Source organism: Homo sapiens, chromosome 1 (assembly GCF_000001405.40).
Source record: "Homo sapiens chromosome 1, GRCh38.p14 Primary Assembly".
NCBI lineage: Eukaryota > Metazoa > Chordata > Mammalia > Primates > Hominidae > Homo > Homo sapiens.
Window position 1 is genome coordinate 85,662,523 of NC_000001.11, and position 23,606 is coordinate 85,686,128.

At 36.1% G+C, this 23,606-nt stretch overlaps 1 protein-coding gene across 5 annotated transcripts in view, besides 1 other annotated feature; it reads right to left on the reverse strand.

Annotated features, from left to right (window-relative positions):
* The window catches only part of ZNHIT6 (zinc finger HIT-type containing 6), a 59,017-nt gene that overhangs the window by 13,106 nt on the left and 22,305 nt on the right, over positions 1 to 23,606 (reverse strand). For 4 of the 5 annotated variants that reach the window (NM_001170670.2, XM_024447736.2, NM_017953.4 and 1 more), the window contains 3 exons: positions 18,314 to 18,382; positions 16,179 to 16,259; positions 14,714 to 14,791 (listed from right to left, as the gene is read on the reverse strand). In NM_001170670.2, the coding sequence (NP_001164141.1) occupies positions 14,714 to 14,791; positions 16,179 to 16,259; positions 18,314 to 18,382 (228 nt within the window). Of the gene's footprint in view, positions 1 to 14,713; positions 14,792 to 16,178; positions 16,260 to 16,850; positions 16,927 to 18,313; positions 18,383 to 23,606 lie in introns of those variants that run through there. The other variant, XR_007061268.1, reaches the window with a different exon arrangement.
* Positions 7,400 to 7,569: an enhancer, noted in NCBI's record as "experimental_9316 CRE fragment used in MPRA reporter constructs". NCBI's record gives its function as "activates a minimal promoter by MPRAs in K562 erythroleukemia cells, with activity observed for the introgressed 1:86135690 variant allele {active_cell/tissue: K562}" and the evidence as "EXISTENCE:reporter gene assay evidence [ECO:0000049][PMID:34662402]".

Sequence of the window (23,606 nt, forward strand, 5' to 3'; positions counted from 1 at the left end):
TTTTATTTAAACTTTAAAAGGTATTATTTAAAATTTCTCCAAATAATACTTCTGTGTAACAATTTTTGCAACTCCTAATGTTCAAGTCATATAGAAAAGGATTTTGCCATAGTTAATCTTTTTCTCACCCAATCTCTCTTAGTTTTCATATTTTAAAAATCACAGTAGTTAAGTTAGTGGTTTGATGCACTTTGTTTTGGGATTTTTATATATCCACATAAATGAGGACGATACCTGCTTGACATGGAGAGTAGATCATGAATTGTGTAGTACAGACATATGTCTTAATTCAGAAAGCTCACCAGTTCAGAACTGCATTTGGTAAATTATCCTATTCTAACCATGATATTTAAACTATGGATGTGGTTAAATAAAATGGCCAACTATATATTTTAAAACCTGTTTTAAAGAGGGGCTTACAAGGCTCTGACTTGTTCTAGATATTATTTCTTTGAAATCTTTTCTGATTTTCGCTGGTAAATTCAATTACTTTTAAATCCACAAGGCTTGAGTTCCAGTCTTATCACTGGTCCTTATGAGCTATAACTCCACAAGGAGACTCAGTTTTGCCCATCAATATAATGGTAGGAAAGATACCTACTCATGGGTTAGTTTGTAAGGACTATAACAGGTGAAAATGTTTCCAAAGTGTAACTTGCTAAGCTAGCATCAGTAATAAGATTTTATACTCCAAAAGTAATTTGGCACTCCTAGCAAGGAAATGACATACTTATCAGGAATTATATTTATGATTTATGACAGAGACAGAGACTAGTTAGTAGAAAAAGCATGAACTGAACTCTTGACAAACAGGTCTGAGTCCAAATCTTAGCCTTATAAACTGTACAAACTTAGTTTCTTTGGGTAAGTCAATTTTTCAGAGCCTACGATTCCTAATCAGGTAAAGTAGAGAAGACATAGTACATACTTTATTAGAATTAATGCATGTGAAAATGTTATAAGCATTAGCCTGGCATTTATTCTTCAATTGATTGCTCAAATATTTACTTAGTGTCTACTATGCACAGGTAGTCTGCTAGGTAATGGAAGTTCATAGAAATAAACCTTGCACTTTATGGGGGGAGGCAGACAAACAGCTATTGCATTCATTGGCACAAGTATCATGATAGAAATGTAAAGTGACACTGGCTAGTAATGGTTTTTCCTTTCTATAGTTAGTACTCTTTTCAAGATCTCTTGTAAGGCAGGTCTGGTGGTAAAAAACTCCCTCAACATTCGCTTATCTGAAAAGAATCTTATTTCTCCTTTGCTTAAGAAACTTAGTTTAGCTGGAAATGAAATTCCTGGTTGAAGATTTTTTTCTTTAACAATGTTGAATATAGGCCCCCAAACTCTCTGGCTTGTAAAGAGTTTCTGCTGTTAGCCCGGTGTAGGTGATCCGTCTCTGTAGCCACTCTGTAGGTGACCTGCCCCTTCTCTCTAGCTGCTTTTCATTTCATTCTTTCTTTCATTTCGACCTTGGAAAATCTGACGATTATGTATCTTAGGGATGATCTTCTTGTGGAGAATATTGCAGGGGTCTCTGTATTTCCTGAATTTGACTGTTAACCTATCTAGCAAGGATGGGGAAGTTTTCATGGACGATATCTTAAAATGTGTTTTCCAAGTTGTTTGCTTTCTCCCCATCCCCTTCAGGGATGCCAATGATTCGTAGATTTGGCCTCTTTACATAATCCCATATTTCTCAGAGGTTTTGTTCATTCCTTTCATTCATTTTTCTTTATTTTTGTCTGCTTTATTTCAGAGAACCCATCTTCAATTTCTGAGATTCTTTCCTCAGCTTGGTCTAGTCTGCTGTTAATACAGTGATTGCACTGTGAAATTCTTGAAGTGTATTTTTCAGCTTTGTCAGATCTGTTAGGTTCATTTTTACATTGGCTATTTTGTCTGTCAGCTCCTGTACTGTTTTATTGTGATTCTTAGTTTCCTTGGATTGGGGCTTGCCATTCTCCTGAATCTTCATGCATTATCCTTAGCAAACTAATGCAGGACAGAAAACCAAATGCCACATGTTCTCACTTATAAGTGGGAGCTAAATGATGAGAACTCATGGACACAAAGAACTAGGAACTAGGTGAAGGTGGAGGGTGGGAGGAGGGAAAGGAGCAGAAAGAATAACTACTGGGTACTAGGTTTAGTACCTGCGTGACGAAATAATCTGTACAACAAACCCTTGTGACATGATTTTACCCATATTACAAATCTGTACACGTACCCCTGAACCTAAAAGTTAAAAAAAAAAAGTAAAGCTAAGTAGATCCTCAGTAAATATTCTCTCTCGTTCTGTTGTTGTTTTGTTTTGTTTTGAGACACAGTCTCGCTCTGTCACCCAGGCTAGAGTCCAGAGGCACGATCTCAGCTCACTGCAATCTCTGCTTCTCGGGTTCAAGCGATTCTCCTGCCTCAGCCTCCCGAGTAGCTGGGACTATAGGTGTATGCTGCCACACTCGGCTAATGTTTGTATGTTTAGTAGAGACAGGTTTCACTATGTTGGCCAGGCTGGTCTCAAACTCCTGACCTCAGGTGATCTGCCTGCCTCAGCCTCCCAAACCTCTCTTGTTCAGTACCAACATCCAAATGTCCTTTGTTCTTGCAGGCTGCACAGGGTCTTCACTATCTAGGTAATTCAGTTCCTAACCCTAGCTAACACCTCTCCTTAATTGGTTCATATTCTTTTTTTGCTCAATTTTATTGAGGTATAATTGACAAATAGGAATTATATATATTATTTAAGGTATACAATTTGATTTTTATTTTTTTTTGTAGAGACAGGGTCTCCCTATGTTGCCCAGGCTGGTCTCAAACTCCTGGGCTCAAATGATCCTCCTGCCTCAGCCTCCCAAAGTGTTGGGATTACAACAGGTGTGAGCCACTGTGCCGGCCTCAAGTTGATATTCTGATGTATGTATATGTTGTGAAATAATATCATAATCAAGCTAATTAACATATCCATCACCTTACATAGCATTTTTTTCTTTTTTCTTGTGATAAGAACACTTAAAATGTACCCTCTTAGCAAATTTCAAGTATACAATACAGTATTGTTAATTATTTGTTTCTTAAAATTCTTTCTCCTCCATGCACTTTTTTCCCCTCTAATTAATGTAGGGATTTTAAATCTTAATCTTTAGTCTTAATCTTGCTAACAAAACATACATTTCCTTTGAAGCTAAAACTGAATGCAAGTGTCTCATCAGTACAGACTCTTACATCTTCAGTCTTTATTAGGATGTATATTACCTTGCAAAATATGATTAGGTTCCTCAGAGAAACTTTTGCTTAGAGGTTCAACAGTCCATGAATTAACTACATTATAGAATGGTATTATTTTAGAGTTGGCAGGAACTTACAACCCAGTCTTTTTTGTCTTCCAGTTAAGTATACTGAAGCCCTGAGAAGTTAAGTATCTTACTCAGGGTCTCTCAAGAAAATGGAGAGTTGGGACTATAAAGCCAATTTTGTGATTTCTTTCACTCAACTGTGTGCTTGTTCATTCATTCCTCATTCAACAAATATTTACTGAGAGTCTACCATGTTCCAGACACTGTTCTTGGCACTGGGAATACAATGGTGTACTATAAGGAATTTACTAGAGGTGAAAGGACAGACTTTCCAGGAAGAAAGTATATGTGTAAGGTAAAGATAGGAGGAGAGAGCTAGGTCTATGGAACTGGGTAGAGAGCGGATATGTTTAAAGTACTGAGCAGAGAATGGGTATTGGAATACACATAGAATTCACAGTTTTGGTGCCTAACATTTAAATTGGTCACAAAATATTCTATAACATAACAAGGATAGGTAAGTTTAGTAGATTAACATTACGCTAAAATATCACTTGTTTTTAGAGAAAACTCACATTTTATATTTCACATAATTTCCTTAACCAAGAATCAGAATAGAATATATTTGAAGTAAGATTATCACTATAGAAATTGTAGGCTTACAATCTGCCAAGAATTTGACCATCACATCACTTTGGATCACTTCAAATACAGGCTCTCAAACTAACCTTCTCAGGTTGAAAGCTACCGAGACCTCAATAGTTGAGCTTATATCTGTCCGGTAAACACTCACCGAACTGTGCCAACTAGCTGAGCTTCAGCTTTCTTAAAGCTAAGTTAACAATTCTTATCATAAAACTGCTTTAACAAGAATACCACATATGAAGCCCATTCCATCACTGGAAGAGTATCATCTTTGAGATGATAAAAAAAGTTTAGCAAACCACTTGACATATTCCCTTTCTGTGTGTGGACATTCTTCAGGTTAACTCTAACATTTTCTAATCCTTAAATGATGATTCCTTTGTTCTGTAATAGAATACAGAATTGCTATAATCCTTAAATGATGCTTCCTTTGTTCTTTGTTTTATTCTCGCTTTCTTTTAGAATCTATATCCAAAACGTGGTCAAAAGTTAATGCCATTCTGAACACATACTCATCTTGACCATGATTACTTTGAAAAATAAACAACAATCCCAAAAAGGTATAACAAAGAACTGTGGTTGGGTTTCACATAATCTGAGAACATGCATTATGATTATTTATGGTGCTGAGAGGCATATACTATATTGCAAAGAACATACTAAGGCTTTGAGTGCAGGCAGACCTAGGTTTGGATCTAGGTTCTACCGTTTAGTGGTCATACAGCTGTAGACGGGCTATCCATTTAATAATAATACAATTACAATATGTACGAAGTGCTTACCAGAGTACCTAAATAATAGTAAGGCACTCAATAAAAGTATGTCATTCATACTTACTATATTCCATAAAGATACATATTAGCCCCCAGATTTAACCTTGATTTTAAATAACTCTTGCAGGAAACAATTCTTGTGTGTGTTTGGGAAAACTTATTCAGGGCCTTCACATTGTTTTGCTTAAACATAACCTAAAATAATTGTGAAAAACAATGATACTTTTGTACATTCTTAAATTGACATCCTACAAGTTTAAGTAGATGCAAAGAACATAATTTATGGTGTATTGTGAATATTGATGTTTTAAGATGAAATATATCACCCTTAAGGAAATTCACTAGACTGTAAATATCATGGTAATTTAACATCAATATCATCCATTAAAAAAAAAAAAAAAGAATAATGGCCATGTGTGGTGGCTCACACCTGTAATCCCAGCACTTTGGGAGGCTGAGGCAGGCAGATCACTTGAGGCCAGCAGTTTGAGACCAGCCTGGCCACTATGGCAAAACCCTGTCTCTCTACAAAAATACAAAAATTAGCCAGGTGTGGTAGTGTGTGCCTGTGATCCCAGCTACTTGGGAGGCTGAGGCACGAGAATTGCTTGAATCCAAAAGCCAGAGGTTGCAATGAGCTGAAATTGCGCGACTGCACTCTAGCCTGGGCAACAGAGTGAGACTCATTCACTCACTCTCTCTTTCAAAAAAAAAAAAAAATATATATATATATATATATATATGCTCTGCTTTCTAAGTTAGAAATCTTACTTGTTCTGTTTTTCCATTCCGATTCTCTTGCAGAATTTTATACCAAGTAGTATGTTTATACCTGACCTTCTCTGCAACAAAAATGTAATGTAAAGTAAAATTTAATTTCATTACCTATGACCTTTACGTTTTAAATAATAAAATTTCTTCTGAACTGAATAATTTTAACTATTATTAACATCAAATTGATCAAAACATCACAAATATATTACAAACAAATTAAGTTATTTTTGAAAAACATCTCAACATGATGGACGAGCACTGATGATGGCATCTTCTATTAAAGGCATGGTTGTTCACTATTGATTCTTAGATTAAATGATTTTCCCCCATTTATCAACTTGGTATCCATTAACAGAATCAAATTTCAAAAGGAAAACAAGAGGAAGTTTACGTAATCCCATCTAGAGAGCAAGCTCTTATTCTTCACTAATTCTTCAACAGTTATTTTCAGGGGATCTTAGGCAGAAATGTCTCTGGCTGTTTACATAAGAAAAGACATCTGAAAATAGTTAATACTGTTCTTAGAAATTCTGGAATTTCTTCAGTGTTCTCCAGTATATACTTAATTCTGCACTATTCTCAAAATAATTTTTAAGTTCTAACTTTTAACACACATCTTATAAATTTCCTATTTAGAGTATCTTCAAAGTATATTTTTCAATTATTCACTGTAAGTCTAAAACAAAGTCATCTAATTTTCCATTTCTAGTTCAATTAGGCAAAGAGCACAGACTAATCTTTAAGGAGGTAAAATGTGATTTTAAAAAAATCCATTCTAATATCAATTGACATGTTTCTTTATACAACTTCAACAACTCAACTGAATATATCTACCAAAAACTTGTCACATGTTAGACATTGTGTGGGAACCAAAAATGTCCTCAAAGAGTTTACCAACCTGGCCAGTGTTTCTCAAAGTGTGGTCCCAGGAAAAACTTATATCATGGTCACCCTTGGGAGACAGAGATTGTAAAAAAAAAAAATGTAGGTTTCTGGGTCCTATGTAAGATTTACTAAACCAGAACCCTAAGAGAGTGGTTTGGAAATCAACATTTTCAACAACTGCCCTAGACTATTATTATGGATACTGAAATCTGAGAAGCATTGTTCTGAAAAGAAATACAGGTTACATGTTCCACTGGGGAGAGGTTTACAGGAAGGAAGAATAACTGGCCAGTAGTGAAAGGGGGTCTTTTCTTGCTAGTGAGTGGGTGCAAGCCAAAAGAGGTCAGGTGGGGCTCACCTGAGGCCTTTACACAGGTAAAATCAATTTCTCAAAAAGGAGATAGGAAAAAGCATTTTACCTCTTCACTTCACTGAAAACGATTTTAAAATATTTTAGATTAAAGATCCATAAAGTTCCAAGGAAGGTAAAATAGCCTTAGTTTTTAAAATTTAAAAACATCCTCTCAGCATGGAAATAAAATCATCCAAGAGAAATAGCTCATACTTTTGCTGGTTGCTTTTCAAACAAAAAGCATTCCAAAATTATTAACTAAAACCAGCACAGGAGGAAACAACTAATAGGCTCTGTGCAAGTACAACAGGATAATATGCGCATGAACAGTAAAAATTTTTGTGATATCCATGAAATCAAAGCTTAGGTAATACTTTAACCTGGGCTTGGGTTTAAATCTAAATTCTTGGCTTTACAAGAAAAATTCTGGAAGCAAAGTGAAGGCAATGGTTTATCTTTCCATCAAGAAATGATTAAGTCTGGAGTGTCCATGCAAAGATGCCCATGCCCTCCACTGGGCACCTTTTATGCCTTGTATTTTAAGTATCTATCTTTTGCGGTATTTATCACATATCATTCTTCCCACCTAGCTCTTTGAGGGCTAGTCTTGTAGATGTCTATATATCCCTAGGTATTAGCACTGGGCTAGCACATGGAAGGGGCTCAATGAAAATTAACTGAATAAATGAAAAATACAGACCTGATCAATCTTAACTGATACTTTAGGTCAGGTTCATGTATCAAAAAGCCTGACCCTGAGCAGGTACTACACTTTCTGAAGTAACTTTTAAATTATACTAGGCCCTTGTTACAATCTTCTCTCTCTCTCTTCATTGAGAATTGAAGCCCCCAACTGTTTACATGATATACAGATATCATGTAAACCAATAAAAAAAACCCTTTAGAGCAGGAATCGGCAAACTACAGCCAGGAGGCCAAATCCAGCCCACTATCTGTTTTTGTAAATAAAGTTTTACTGGACCATATTCTAGTCATGTCCATTCGTTTAAGTGGTCTATAGTTGCTTACGTGCTACAATGGTAGAATTGACTAATTATGACTAAATGGCCCACAAAGCTGGAAAATATTTACTATCTGGCCATTTAAAGGAAAAGTTGCCCAAGCCCTGCTTAAGGGTATTAACGTGGCATCAATACCTAGCATACAGCAGGCATATATACATATATATACACACATATATATATTTTAATGAATTAGCACACTGATTAAAAAATTAAGACTGAACACTTACTGTGGAAAAGTCACTAACACAACTCTGCAGGAAATATAAAAATGAAGATGCCTACGGCAACCACTGTCTTCAAAAGAGAGTTAATCATCATGTGATTTAAGTTTTATTGGGATAAAATAAGTCAAATTTATAGAAACCTATGAGAAATGCAAAACACTTTTAAGGTTCTAAAGATACAGAAATTATATCCAGTTTGGGGGAAGGAAATGAACTCTGTTGCAGACACTGGTAACTAATAGTCTACATAAAAGGAATGGAGAAGAAAGGACAAATGGAAGACTCATTGTGGATGTCAATTACACAAGGTAAGGTGGCAAGGTAGAAGTCAAGAAGTAGTTGAAGATGCTGAGCTGCAAGGTCTTACGCCTGGCTTACTAGAACAACAGTGCCAGTAATAGAAAATGCGTACCAACATTTGTTGACTGCTTACTCGATGCCAGGAACAGTCAGTCCATTAAATTCGAAACACACACATCAGGAAGAAATAGATGCAGTGTAATGAAATCTAGACATGTTGAGCTTAAGATTTAATGAGATGTGTAAATGAAGATAGCTGGAAACCAAGATTTGGAGGTTGGGAGAAAGGTTAAAACTATATCTAGATTTGGGAGTAATTTCTACAGAAATAAGTTGACAATATCTTAAGTTCCTGAAATCTCTCATATTCTTCCAATATCCAATTATGTCAAAAGAAATGTTAACAAACACAACTGGTTATCTGCTCCCTTGTGTTTAGTGGTGAGTGGCCTGTTGGGAATGTATAGCTAATATTACATTTGAAGTATATCCCAGAAGTATAAGAAATTATATGGCTGATGCATGCCTAGGGCCTCAGCTATGCAGGAGGCTGAAGCAGGAAGATTTCTTGACCTCAGGCGTTCAAGGCTGCAGTGAGGCTATGCTTGTGCTACTGCATTCCAGCCTGGGCAACACAGTAAGACCCTGTCTCTTAAAAAAAAAATTTTTTTTTTTCAAAATGAATTTGGTCAAAAGAAGCTGTTAAACAAATAAACAAAAAAAGTAATACACGATACAGTTAACTACTACCAGACATGTGGAACTTAAACACCTCTTACGTTCATTGAATCATTTCAGCATGATGTTCTAGTTGAAACTCAAAATACTTGAATAATACACAGGAGTGATTTTCTGGGTGCCAGGCACTGTATTCAGTAGCTGACAAATATTAACTCAAATTAATCTTTACAACGATGCAGTATCATTTCTGTTCTGATTCCCACTTTTAGATGGGAAAACAGGCTTAGTAACTTTCCAAGGTATGTATCAAATTAAAAACACAATTTTGACTTTACAGCAAATCTCTGATGTACATTTTTGCATAAGAGCAAAAAGGTTATTCTGGAAGTTCTCATGATTTGGTTTAGGCTTAGGAAGCAGTTACAATAAACTTTTATTTATTATAATAAATGTACTATTTGTAATGGTGAAACTTTTGGTCTAAAAAGTCTAGTCTAGAGCCTCATAAAGTAAAGTAAGGTATACTACACAGATTATGTATTCTGGAAGGATAATATTACTATTTTTTACTAGTATACAGTTTCACTCTGAAGATATCCTAATAATTAGTAGAGTAAGGTCATTCTTTTCAAAAGTAGTGTTCCTGAAAATGATGCCACCCCTACATGAAACTCAACATGCTCTTAGCCTCTCCAGACCTTACTTTTATCTCTCTGTAAACAGCAATCATGCCAGAAACTGTAGTCACCTTTGATTCCTATTTATTGCTCCCTATAGCCAACTTGATCACCAAGTCTTACTGCTTTTTTTTTGCTAGATTTTTACAGTTTTCTACTGCCAAGGAGACCAGATCCAGACAGCGTTAGTATTGGGTCTTGAACTAACTCTTCAACCTTAACTTTTAAAAAAAAGTTTAAAAAATACTGCTCTGCATACATCTATACACTCCAACCTCCTCAAATCACTTACTTGCCTTGTTTATGACATACCATGCCCTTGCACTTCTTAAGGCCCTCTGTACCCTCTCCTAGTCATAGGCCATTCACCTTTAATAAAAATCAAACATCACTTCCACAACAAAGCCTTCTGATGACATGAGGATACCTGCTACCTTCCACATCACTTTTAAGACTTAGACATAGGTTTCTTATGATATATACAGTGTGTCTGTTTTCCTTACTACAACAGAACTGTATTTTATTCATTCTTGTATAAACTCCAATTTTTATTTATATGCCTAGAAGATTAAATGTACTTAATGGTTTTTTTTGAATAAATTTGGAAAGGATCATCCTATAACTGCTTAAATCACAAAAAAAAAAAAAACCACGAAGATTTACAAGTATCAAAGCAGCAAAGTAAACATAAAAAACAAAATGTATCTAAATTTCTTTCTGGTAAATAATTCCATAAAAGTAAAATCCAGGCTTAAAATTTAATAGATTTGGAAAACTGTACTTGAATAGACAAAGTTGGTTGTTTTATAAATTCTTCAGTCAGTAGTAACTTAAGTGGGCAGTAATACAACAGCTGCCCTCTGATAGTGCCTGACATTTAGCAACATAGGCTTTTCTAGTCCAAAACCACTCATTTACTTTCTGAGAATAGAAAGTTGGTAAGAAATAAGGCGGCAAAGGGCAAGAATGGCTTTACTAACACAAGCATCTTACATGAATGATCTTCTCCACAGGGGCAGGAACACTCTTCTTTACTGCCATAGCCTCAATGTCTAGAACAGCATCTAGACTTTGGCATACTCACTGTTTGCTGAATGAATAAGTGAATTTATTTAAAAAGCTATAATAGCTTTTCTAAGAGATAAATTCAGACCCTATGTATTCTGGAAAGAAAACTCCCAAACAGATCAGTAGCGAATTCCTTAGATTAGACATACATTCTAGGATCGCAATTTAAAAAATAAGTCATGTATGGCAAAGCTAAAACCTGGAAAAAACTTAAGCATGCTCTAGCTGACCAGGTATATCTATATCATGAGACAATTGCTATATACCTTCCAAGAATGGAAAGTAAAACCAATGGAAACTGGCAACATCAAGTATTTGGTAAAAAGACTTTACTCTGAAGTTACTGTAATGCTGTAAATGTAGAATTAAACAGCCACAAAGAAACTACATGTTTCTGATTTCTAAGCACTTTTCAGGAAATTAATAAAATGGTTCTATTTAGAATGCTTATCTTAAATTAGAGCTTAACATTTATAACCTATAATAATTTTCCTTAGATGTTCTCTGAATGTACTTTCCTTTAAGGATGTAACTGTAATGTACTTTCCTTTAAGGATGTACCAATCAAATGTAAATGCTCATCTTAGTCCATTCATGAGTATGTTACAGAGAACATTATGTTTTAAAAATCTGATAAAAAATAAAAATCTACGCCTAAATATATCTCTATACTATCTAACTTCATTACTTATGACTACAAAATACTTATAAAATTGAGGTTCTTTAGAAATTAGCATAACTATGCTTTGTGGCTGACCTAATAATCAGAAATATAAAGATGCCCTATGCCAATTTAGGTCCAACTTCAAGAAGAAAGCTACCTCAACAGGAATTTCTGACATTATTATTGCTGTCAAATGATGCCATCACTACTCAAGGCTAAACAGAATGGCAATTTTTAAATTGGACCTGGGACATAACCTTTTCCCCCTTCCTTTGCTTTGATAGTATTTTCATATATTACTTAGTTCGAGTCAATAGCAAAAATGGGGGAATTTGGAAGATAAGCTTTCTCCACAGATAAGGTAGAGTGAAAGTACTTTCATGTTCCTCAGACTGGCTCAGGTTTATCTTTTTCTTTTTTTTTTCGGAGACGAGGTCCTGCTATGTTTCTCAGGCTTGTCTCAAACTCCTGAGCTCAAGCAATCTGCCTGCCTCATCCTCCCAAAGTGCTGGGATTACAGGCATGAGCCACAGGCACCCAGCTAGGCTCAGGTTTAGTATCAAATCAGTCTATTCTAGGTATTCCTTATAGTCAACACCACTTACTTTTTACTTTATTAATCTACTATTCCCTTCACTTTGGCGATTAAAAAGGTCAGTTTTGTTTAGTAAAATCCTAAAATCAATTCCACGTAATTCATGTTTAAACAAAATAATTTACATTGTTTCCTTGGAATTTACCTCTAGTCAATCATTACATAATTCTTTTATTATCTGTTTCATCTTCTAAATTCAGTTCCTTTCTTGCCATGTGCCATATTTTATCTAATTAGTTCATTTAAATGTTACTCATGTTTTAAGCCATGAGACCATGGCTTTAGTCTCACAAGCCTACTAAGAGAATATCTCTGAGGGCTAATGTGTCCACTCACCTAAGCCAGTCAAACTTGACTCTGACAAAATAGCCTCTTCTTCCAAAATTCAAGGAAATCAGAATTCTTGGTAATAAAAGATAAACAGGGGATACTGAGTATTTTAAAATTTATAGTATAGGACACACTGCTTGGGCCCAGAGAACAGTTATTTTTTAAGTTGGAAATGTGTACTGTAAGTCCATGAAGAGCCGAAGTGGATGGAAATCTCTTTGTCCTAGCATACCAGGGTTTTTGAGAAGAGCTGCAGTAATGCCCGTAAGATGTTATGTCCCCAAAGGGAGCAGTTAAGGAAACTGCTCTCATGCCATTGCATAGAAAGGAATCAGGATACCCAGAGACCACAACTCAGAAAGCTACAAGTCAAAACATTAAGACTTATTTTAACAAAGAGCCAAATGGGATAAATCTAAACAAAAAATACGTCAAAGAAGTATGCTTAAATGAAACTCACATGACCTAGCTCTAGGCATTCAACTCCCCTGTGCTTCATTTTCCTTTAAGGTCCTCACTCTAATGTTATAACTTTCCTTCTTTAGAGTCCCAAAGAGGATCGAAGTTGTCAATAAGCAGCAATGTTTTGAAAACAAACTTTTTTTTCTGAGCAGTAGACTTAAAATATTCAGTAAACCATGCCATAAACAGATGTGCTGTCATCCAGGCTTTGTTGTTCCATTTACAGAGCACAGGCAGAATAGATTTAGCATAATTCTTAAGGGCCCTAGGATCTCTGGAATGGTAAATGATCACTGGCTTCAACTTTAAGTCCCCAGCTGCATTAGCCCCTAACAAGAGGGTCAGTCCATCCCTTGAAGCTTTTATGGCAGGCATTTACTTCCCCTCTCTAGCTAAGTCCTACATGCCATCTTCTTTCAATACAAGGCTATTTTGTCTACATTGAAAAATCTGTTTAGTGTAGCCACCTTCATCAGTTATCTTAGCTAGATCTTCTGGATAACCTGCTGTGGCTTCTACATCACCATTTGCTGCTTCACCCCACACATAACCCACAGGTTATAGAGATGGCTTCTTTCCTTAAACCCCATGAACCAACCTCTGCTAGCTTCAAACTTTTCTTCTGCAGCTCCCTCACCTCTCTCAGCCTTCATAGAGTTGAGAGTTAGGGCCTAGCTCTGGATTAGGCTTTGGCTTAAGGGAATGTTCGGGCTGGTTTGATCTTCTATCCAGACCACTAAAACTTTCTCCCTATCAGCAATAAGACTGTTTTACTGGCCGGGCGCGGTGGCTCACGCCTGTAATCCCAGCACTTTGGGAGGCTGAGGCAGGCAGATCACCTGAGGTCGGGAGTTTGAGACCAGCCTGACCAACATGGAGAAACCCCGTCTCTACTAAAAATACAAAATTAGCCGGGCGTGGTGGCACATGCCTGTAATCCCAGCTACTCAAGAGACTGAGGCAGAAGAATCGCTTGAACCTGGGAGGCGGAGGTTGCGGTGAACCGAGATCACGCCATTGCACTCCAGCTTGGACAACAAGAGTGAAACTCCGTCTCAAAAAAAAAAAAAAAAAAAAGACTGTTTTACTTTTTTATCATTCTTGTGTTCACTGGAGTAGCACTTTTAATTTCCTTCAAGAATTTTTCCTTTGCAATCACGACTTGACTAACTAGCAGGAGAGGCCTAGCTTTCAGCCTATCTCGGCTTTCAACATGCCTTCCTCACTAAGCTTAATCATTCCACTTTTGATTTAAAGTGAGAGATGTGACTCTTCCTTTCACTTGAACACTCACAGGCCATTGTGTGGTTATTAATTGGCCTAATTTCAATATTATTGTGTCTCAAGGAATAGGGAGGCCTGAGGAGAGTGAGAGAGATGGGTGAATGAGTGGTTGGTAGAGCAGTCAGAACACACACATTTAAGGCTGCCACCTTATATTGTGGTGCACCCAAAGCAATTACAGAAGTAACATTAAAGTGTTACTACTGTATCACAGGTCACCATAACAGATATAGTGCTAACGAAAAAGTTTGAAATATTGCAAGAAATACCAAACTGTGACACATAGACTTGAACTGAACATGTGCTGTTGGAAAACTGGTGCAGATAGACTTGCTCAATGCAGTTACCACAAACCTTCAATTTGTAAAGAATGCAATACCTGTAAAGCTCAGTGAAGTAAACCACAATAGAACAAATAAAAGAATGCTTATATTTTAAAATATTCTATTTCCCCTATATCAGTTGACGGAAAATAAAATATTCTAACCAGGGTGATTTTTCAACCCAATTTATCCTATAAGTCTGATTATTTTGAATTTGACTTGAAAGTTGAAAAGTAAAAGTCATGTTCATAGCTAGATAATTAGTTTAATAACTTGAGCTAATCAAGCTACTTAATTATATTACAGAACTAAAAAATATTTAAAGAAATGGGGAGGGGAGCAATTTTACCTTACTAAATTTTGCTGCATATATTCAATCTTCATTAAAATCTGAACCCCAGTCTGAGAGCGAATGTAGGCTTTCAACCTGAAATAAAAACATCATATTGAAGGAAAAGCTGATTTTTAATATATTTCAAGATAGTCTTATGGAGACTAAGCATTTGTACCTAATAATACTTAAAAGTTCATGTATTTAAGCATAGAAAAGGAGATAAAGATGTTTTCTAACCAGAAATCTGAAAAGAAAATAATTTTTTTCCTTTGTTCAATTAAACATCTTAAATTTTAAAACACCTGTTTCAATAAATTAATCTGGCTATATAATTTTACAAAAATGTATCCTATTCAGTGACATTTTGTCTTACTGGCAAATATATGACTAATGATAATAACTAGGTTACCAGTTATAAGGAAAGAAACTCAACTATCATAGCTATTTTAAAGACTGCTTGATATGTGACATGGGTCTGGTTCAGTCTGGGCATGACCTTTTATCAAAAGCAAAAGAATGAGATTCAATTAGAACTGGATTAGACATTTTAGAATCCACCCAGTCTAAATTTTAAATACCAGGTTATTCTGGAACCAAACCAAGCACTCATTCACATCCCAAGCAAGTACCATCTGGTGAAAATAAAGTCAACCGGGTTTCTGCCCAGGAGCACTAATAACTCACACTCTAATAACAATCTCCGTTTTCGAGTAGTGTCTACTATATGCTAGGTCCTGTACTAGGAATTTCATATATGCTATTTCTTTTAAGCTTTGTAACAACCCTATCTAGGAAGTGTTATCATTCTTATTTCACTGATGAGAAAAAATAAGGCCTGGAAATTAAGTAACTTGCTCTTAATCACACAGCTAATAAGGGACAGAAACAGCTATTTTAACCCAGATATCCATGACTGAATCTTTCCACTATGTTATGTTAACCACTTTTGTCCATGCTGTATTTCTGGACAGGAGGCAGAGTGTACTTTACTTAGTTCTAAGAAGACTTGGCTGAAACAGGATTTCCTGTCTTTAAGTTACTTGGAAACTTTTCATTTTCAGAGTTTTTCGTTCAACCTCAAAGGTAGTTTAGTTTAAGGGTTAAGAGTAAAGACTTTGACTCCAGACTGCCTGGGTGTGAATCCTAGCTTCCCTGTTTACTAGCTATAGGATATTACTTAACCACTTCAAGGCTCAGTTTCTCCATCTGTAAAATGGGTATAATAATAATCTACTTTTCAGAGTTATTGTGAGGATTAAATGAATTAACACATTTATTACTGTCTGCTTTGAAGAGTGTCTGGAACATAGGAAACAATGAATGTCAGCTATTTCTACAGACAGACCTTCAGTAAACACCAAGAAAATGTGATAGAAAGTAAATTGTACTACACATCACATTCTAATAGTCATGGATGACCCTAATAAGTACATCAACATTTTTAATTATTTCAGAAAGTTACAATATTTTTGAAGCATACCTTTGACGAATTACAGGATCAGACTTTTCAGGATCAATGTAAGGTTTTAGGATTTCATTAATAGTTTTATCATCTGGTACTCTTTACAACAAAGAAAAAAAAACAAGCTATATTAGTATTTATAATTTTCTACTAAAGGTGTTAATTTTGAATTATTAAATATTGTGGCTTTTTTGGTTTAAATAACTGAACAAAGACCTTTTATATTACTCTTGGCAAAATAAAATATCATTTTAAGCAAAAATTACTTAGGAAAAAGCTCAAAAAGAGTTCTTGGACACACTTAAGGTCTTAAAAAACAACATTTTGAGAAGTTCTGTATAAATCAATTATAAAAATATGAAGCCTCTTAACACACACCTGTACTCAAACATGAAAAGACGAGGTCAGGATAAAATATATTTGAAACTAGCAGAAATAATAAATCTGAAAAAAGGTTTCAGATTTCAGTGCATGTTCAAATTTACTCATTCTAATTTATAAGACCAAGTTAAAAAATTGATAGTAATTTCCTTGGAAACAAAACATTTTAAGTTTTCCAACTTTCTTCCATATATGCACGCTGTTTTAAACTTATCTATAAAGCTGTATAAACAAAATTAAGACACTGTTTTAAAACAGTAACTTTCCTCAACCATTTATACATATTCATATATACTATTGGCTACATACCCCTAGATGTAAAATAAGTCTTTTCCTTGTATGCAACTCCAAATAACAAAGTTCTTCACTAAAATCCCTTTGACAACTACAAAGAGAGGATATTTATGTATAATATAGGAATATGCTAAATATACTACTTAAAGAGCAACTTTAAAATTTTCCTAAATCAAGGAATGAAATAGTTCACAAACATTAAAATGTTTTTTTTTTTTTTTTTTAATTTTTTTGTTGTTGTTGTTGAGACAGAGTCTTGCTCTGTCGCCCAGGCTGGAGTGCAGTGGCATGATCTTGGCTCACTGCAACCTCCGCCTCCTGCATTTAAGCTATTCTCATGCCTCAGCTTCCCAAGTAGCTGTGATTACAGGGGTGCGCCACTTCCCCCAGCTAATTTTTGTATTTTTAGTAGAGACGGGGTTTCACCATGTTGGCCAAGCTGGTCTCTAACTCCTGGCCAAAGGCAATCCATCCGCCTCGACCTCCCAAAGTGCTGGGATTATAGGTGTGAGCCGCTGCATCTGGCCAACATTAAAATGTTTAAATGACACTTGAAAATGTTTATAGGCTGGATGCGGTGGCTCACACTTGTAATTCCGACATTTTGGGAGGCAGAGAGGGGAGGATTGCTTGAGGCCAGGAGTTTGAGACCTGCCTGGGCAACATAGTGAGGCCTTGCCTCTACAAAACTAAACAAGATTAGCTGGGCGTGATGGCCTGAGCCTTTAGTCCCACCTACTTGGAGGCTGAGGTAGGAGGATCACCTGAGCCCAGGAGGTTGAAGCTGCAGTGAGCGGAGGTCCGCACCACTGCACTCCAGCGTGGGCAACAGAGCAAGATCCTGCCCCCACTCCCCTCCAAAAATAAAGAAAAAGAAAAGAACAAGTTTTAATATGAAACAGTAACACAAAAACTTTATGCAAATTAATTCCAATGAGTACACATATATACTTCTAAAATAATGTATTTTCTGAGTGATACACTATAATGTTAATAGTAGTAATCTTTGCATGGTAGAATTTTGGGTCATTTTTCACTTCCTTAACAACCACCCAGCTGAAGAAATAGGAAACTTTCAGCCGTCTAATTCTCCTCGGATCCCTCTCCTCAATACTTGCTTTGCTGCTAAAGAAACCATCATCAGGATTTCTATGTTAATAATTTCCCTTAGAGTTAGTTCTATCACCTTTGTAGGTATTCCCAAAAGTACACTATTTAGTTTTCTGGCTTTTTTCCCCCATATTTACAATCATGTTCTCTACATTCTTCCTTAACTTGCTTTTCTTATATTATTTCTGAGATTCATCCATGTTGATGTGCATAGCTGTAGTTCATTTTTAGTGATGTTTAGCATTTCATTGTATAAATACACCACAATTTAGTTATCCATTCTACTACTGACATTAAGTTAACAGTTTATTTTAAATACACAGCCTTCAAATTAAAACAAATCAGTGATTGAAAGATAGCAGTGATACCTTTTTTCTATGTACTCAGCTTGACTTTGAGGAAACTGGAGCTTCACATGCCAACAAAACTGTTGTTTTCTAAGAGAGAAAATAATCATGTGAGAATCAAGGTAGATAATAAAAGTCTGGATGCAAATTGAACTTTCTAAATTTTCACTTTAAGATAATTCCAAAATTATTCTTAGACTTTAACATATATTTTCTATTAAGAGCTAATTTCTCTTGCAAGGGTTATTAAGAAAGAAAAAAAAGGGAAGCAGTTCTAAATTCCAAGGACTTCACATTTCTGAATCAGAAAGCAATTTCTCATAGTTCAGGGGCTTTTGGGAGCAGTGTGCTACTATTTGAAGTTTACAAATAAATTTCCTCATGACTAAATACAATGAGCTGATGTCTTTGCTTGACTAGTCTGGAAATTAGGTGAATGAAGTATTGTCCGGTTGAGTCCAGCTGGCTGGAGATACACTTCTGAGGCATGAGTACGTGCATTCAGTAGCAAAACAGGAGACAACAAGCTGGTTGCTAAGCAGAATGCACTTTGAGCTACAGTCTTTTTGCTTTCAGGTCTAAACTTTGGTTTGACATAGCATCAACAGCAATAACTCACTAAATGTCTGATTTTAGAAAAATGACTATATTTAATATATCTAAATTTAGAGACATTGACATGATTCCTTCTTTAAAAATTCTAATGCTCAAAATATTGAATCCAATACAGAAATTTAAATGTCTTCACTACATGATGATTTTACACAATGTTTTCCTTACTTAGAAGAAATTTCTAACAATCCATTAGAGCAAGTTAATGACTACCGATATCTCCTTAAAATCTATCCCATAGCAGTAGGACCCCAAAATCTAAAATAATTTTCTTTTAATACAATCTATCTTTCACCAAACATCTATATGATTTAGTAGAATTTCTGTCAGAAGACAAAGAACATAATTTTATTGAGAACAAAGTTGAAAAGTACCCTTTACTAATCTAAAGGACAGATGTCTAAAATCTCAGAGGAAAAAACATTTAAAAATTTGAATGCAAAAGCAACAGTTACTAGTTTTAAATAAATAATTCTTCCAAAATAAAACATTTTGCAATATTCATTATCTGTGAAATAGGAATACCATAATAGCATTATCACAAGGCTGACTTTTTTTTTTTAATAAGAAATAAACAGATTTTGTTCATCTTTTTTTTTTTTTTTGAGACGGAGTTTCGCTCTGTTGCCCAGGCTAGAGTGCAGTGGCATGATCTCGGTTCACTGCAAGCTCCGCCTCCCGGATTCACACCATTCTCCTGCCTCTCTCCTGAATAGCTGGGACTACAGGTGCTCGCCACCACGCCCGGCTAATTTTTTTTTTTTTTTTTTGGTATTTTTAGTAGACACAGGGTTTCACTACGTTCGCCAGGATGGTCTCGATCTCCTGACCTCGTGATCCACCTGGCTCGGCCTCCCAAAGTGCTGGGATTACAGGCATGAGCCACCGCACCCGGCCTCATTTTGTTCATCTTAATGCATAATATAGTTTCTTCCTAAATGTATGTTTTTTCAGGTTAACTTAGGGAAAAAAAGGATTACCAACTTGCCATCTTATGGAATTGTAAACCATACTCAATCACCCCAATTCTTGCTTGAGTAATTTCAAAAACCATTCGCCTTTTAACATTTAATACACCCTGAATACATTCAGAAAGCACTTAACATTCCAAACACAGAGAGAAAAGCCCTCGGAAATCATTTTATTTGTTGTAGTTAACTAGCTCTACTTATAACAAAGTCATTCATTGCTATACATTGCCAAATTATTGATAAAAATATTTCTATATTTGGCCTCAGCTCACACATGAACAAATCTGAAAAGTACACTAACTTTTAAAATGTGATCTTCCAATATTTCAAAAACAAAGAAAAACAGAATAATGTAAAGAACACTCAATGCACCCATATTCAGATTTAACTCATTTACAAATTGCCGTATTTTTGAGGTACTTTTATTTCTTCTAAGAAATAAAGGGCTATTGATAACAGTAGATGATTCTTTATATGTACTTTAACCCAAGGTGGGCAAACAGAAGTTGAAGGGTGTTGTATAAAGAACTGCTGGGGATGGGCGCAGTGGCTAAAGCCTGTATAATCCCAGCAATTTGGGAGGCCAAGGTGGGCGCATCGTTTGAGCCCAGGAGTTTGAGATCAGCCTAGGCAACATGATGATACCCCATCTCTACAAAAAATACAAAAATGAGCCAGGCATGGTGGCGTATGCCTATAGTCCCAGCTACTCTGGAGGTTGAAGTGGGAGAATCACCTGAGCCCAGGAGATTAAGGCTGCAGTGAACTGCGACTGCGTCACTGCACTTCACCTGGGTGACACAATGAGACCCTGTTTCAAAAAAAAGAAAAAATTGCTAGGCCAGGCAAGGTGGCTCACGCCTCTAATCCCAGCACTTTGGGAGGCCAAGGTGGGCAGATCATGAGGTCAGGAGATCGAGACCATCCTGGCTCACATGGTGAAACCCCGTCTCTACTAAAAACACAAAAAATTAGTCAGGTGTGGTGGCATGTGCCTGTAGTCCCAGCTACTCGGGAGGCCGAGGCAGGAGAATCACATTGCTTGAACCCGGGAGGCGGAGCTTGCAGTGAGCTGAGATTGAGCCACTGCATTCCAGCCTGGGCGACAGAGCAAGATTCCGTCACAGAAAAAAAAAAAAAAAATTGCTGAAATGGGTGAGTTAATTTTCTCTAAAATGGTTTCCAATTCTTCAGTATTGCTGAAATTACTGTAAGTCCTGACATGTGTTCTTCTTAAGACTGAAAGAATTAAGCTTGTTTCTCATTTTTTTATAATTATATATACAAATATATGTCCCACTTAAAAAAATATACATACATCAAAATCCTAGCAACATTACTTGGATTACTTTCTAAAGCTAGATTCCAAGAAGTACAATCACTAAGACAGAGCAGGGTTTCTCAATCTCAGCAGTGCTGATATTTTGGACTAGATAATTCTTTGCAAAGGACTTGGTCCTTTGCACTGCAGGACGTTTAGCAGCATCCTAGGACTCCACCCTCTAGATGAGTGTTCCACTAGGAACACTCATACACCCAGTTGTGGCCACCAAAAATGCTCCCAGAAATTGCAAATGTCCCCTGGAAGCAGAATCATCACTGTTTGAGAACCACAAGGATAAAGGTTTGAACATTTACAATTACTCCTAATGCATTAGAGCTACTGTTCCCTAAATTCAACAAAATGCCTTCAACTACAATAATGTCACTATACCCTTGGCATATCAACGTTCTCAAAAATGGTATTACTATACCTAGTATATTCTAGGTAACTTAGGGACTCCAAGATACCATGTTTAGAGTTGGGTGATAAGACTGGTGGAGTAATTGTGGCAACTTAATCCTTATGTTCCCTTCTGGACAATCTGACAAAGCAACAGAAACACTAACCTCTTCTGAGTCCTATGAAACCCAAGTAACTATTCATGCATAGCAAAGCTGTTTCCCTCTCCTCCTCTAAATATCAATACACACATGCATTCTCAATGAGGGCAGCATGGCCCCAAAGAGGGCAAAAACTGGTTCTCTGAAGGGCCAACAAAATCTTGCTATTTTAATGCTTGTGGCCCTACAAAGGGCTACTGTATGCAACAGATATACAGTGTATCTATGGTATCAAAATATCACGGCAGAAAGCTCCTTGGGAGGCAATAATAAAAAAAAAGTTGAAAAATACTTAGATGGCACTTGTATTAAATGAGGAAAATAAATATTTTATACTCATTTTCAGTGAGTTAATACAGAGCACTTATTTACCAACACTTGCTTACTAGAAACTGTTAAGGATCAGTCTCTCCGTGGCCCATTTGTTTACAAAAATAGAAAGAAAAGGGATCATTCTCTCCCACAGTTTCAAGAAAGTATGTGGATGAACACACACATTTAAGGAAAGAGGTTCTATAACCATAATCTAAATTATTCTTTTGACTTCATAACTTCAAATTGCAAATTTTCGTATGGGGAATACTACCACAATCCCAAGGAAAAAGATGCAAATCAAAAGTCATTAGGTCCTTTTAAATGGCACTGCTCTAATGTCACAATAAGATGTTCAAATTCATTAATAACCAAAGAAATGTATATATAAATAAAATATTTTTCCTTTTCAGGTTTGTAGAAATGTTTTTTAAATTAGAAATACTAAGGAAGTGTGGCAAAAGTGTGGCAACTTCATTGCTGACAGGAATATAAATTGGTGCAAGCTACTGGTAGTTCAATTTCATAAAAGCTATAAATAAAAATTTGTAATTGAAAAACTGTATATTTTTGCCTCAATAGTTTTATTCCTGGAAATGTATCCCAAGGAAATAATTGGTCAAGTAATGATATATATATAAAATGTCCACTGCACCACTTTATATAATAGAAAAAAATTAGAAACAACCTAAATGTACATCATCAGAAAGTTGATTAAATAAATCATGGTACATCTACATAATGAATTTTAAGTAGTCATAAAAGATGAGGCAGAACTTTATGTACTGATGTAGAAAAATGTGCATGTTGAATGATAGCCTTTATATTTAAAACACAGGTTTATACATATATTGGCAAGTATGAAGGCCATACCCCAAACTTTTAGCTATGATTATTTCTTGACATTATAAAAGGACTTGACTTAATTTTTACCTACGAATATGTCTGTATTATTAAATAAATCTTCCACATAATGATTTGTGGGCTTTTTTTTCCTTTTTTGAGACAAGGTCTCACTCTGTCGCCTGGGCTGGAGTGCAGTGGCCAAAAAGGGTTTGCTGCAGCCCTGACTTTCTGGGCTCAAGTGATCCTCTCGCCTCAGCCCCTGCAAGTAGCTACCACAGCTGGCTGTATTTTTGAATTTTAGTAGAGACAAGCTCTTGCTATGTTGCCCAGGCTGGTCTCCAACTCCTGAGCTCAAGTGACCCTCCTACCTTAGCCTCCCAAAGTGCTGAGATTACAGGTGTGAGCCACCGTACCTGGCTGATTTGTTACTTTTCATAATCAGTAAAGTCAAAGATGCATTCATGGGCGCATACAGGATGGCAGTGATAGAAAGAACAGGAATAATTTTAACATTCTTTTTTTTTTTTTCTTTTTTTTCTTGAGATGGAGTCTCGCTCTGTCGCCCAGGCTGGAGTGCAGTGGTGCGATCTCAGCTCACTGCAAGCTCCACCTCCTGGGTTCACACCATTCTCCTGTCTCAGCCTCTCTAGTAGTTGGGACTACAGGTGCCCGCCACCACACCTGATTAA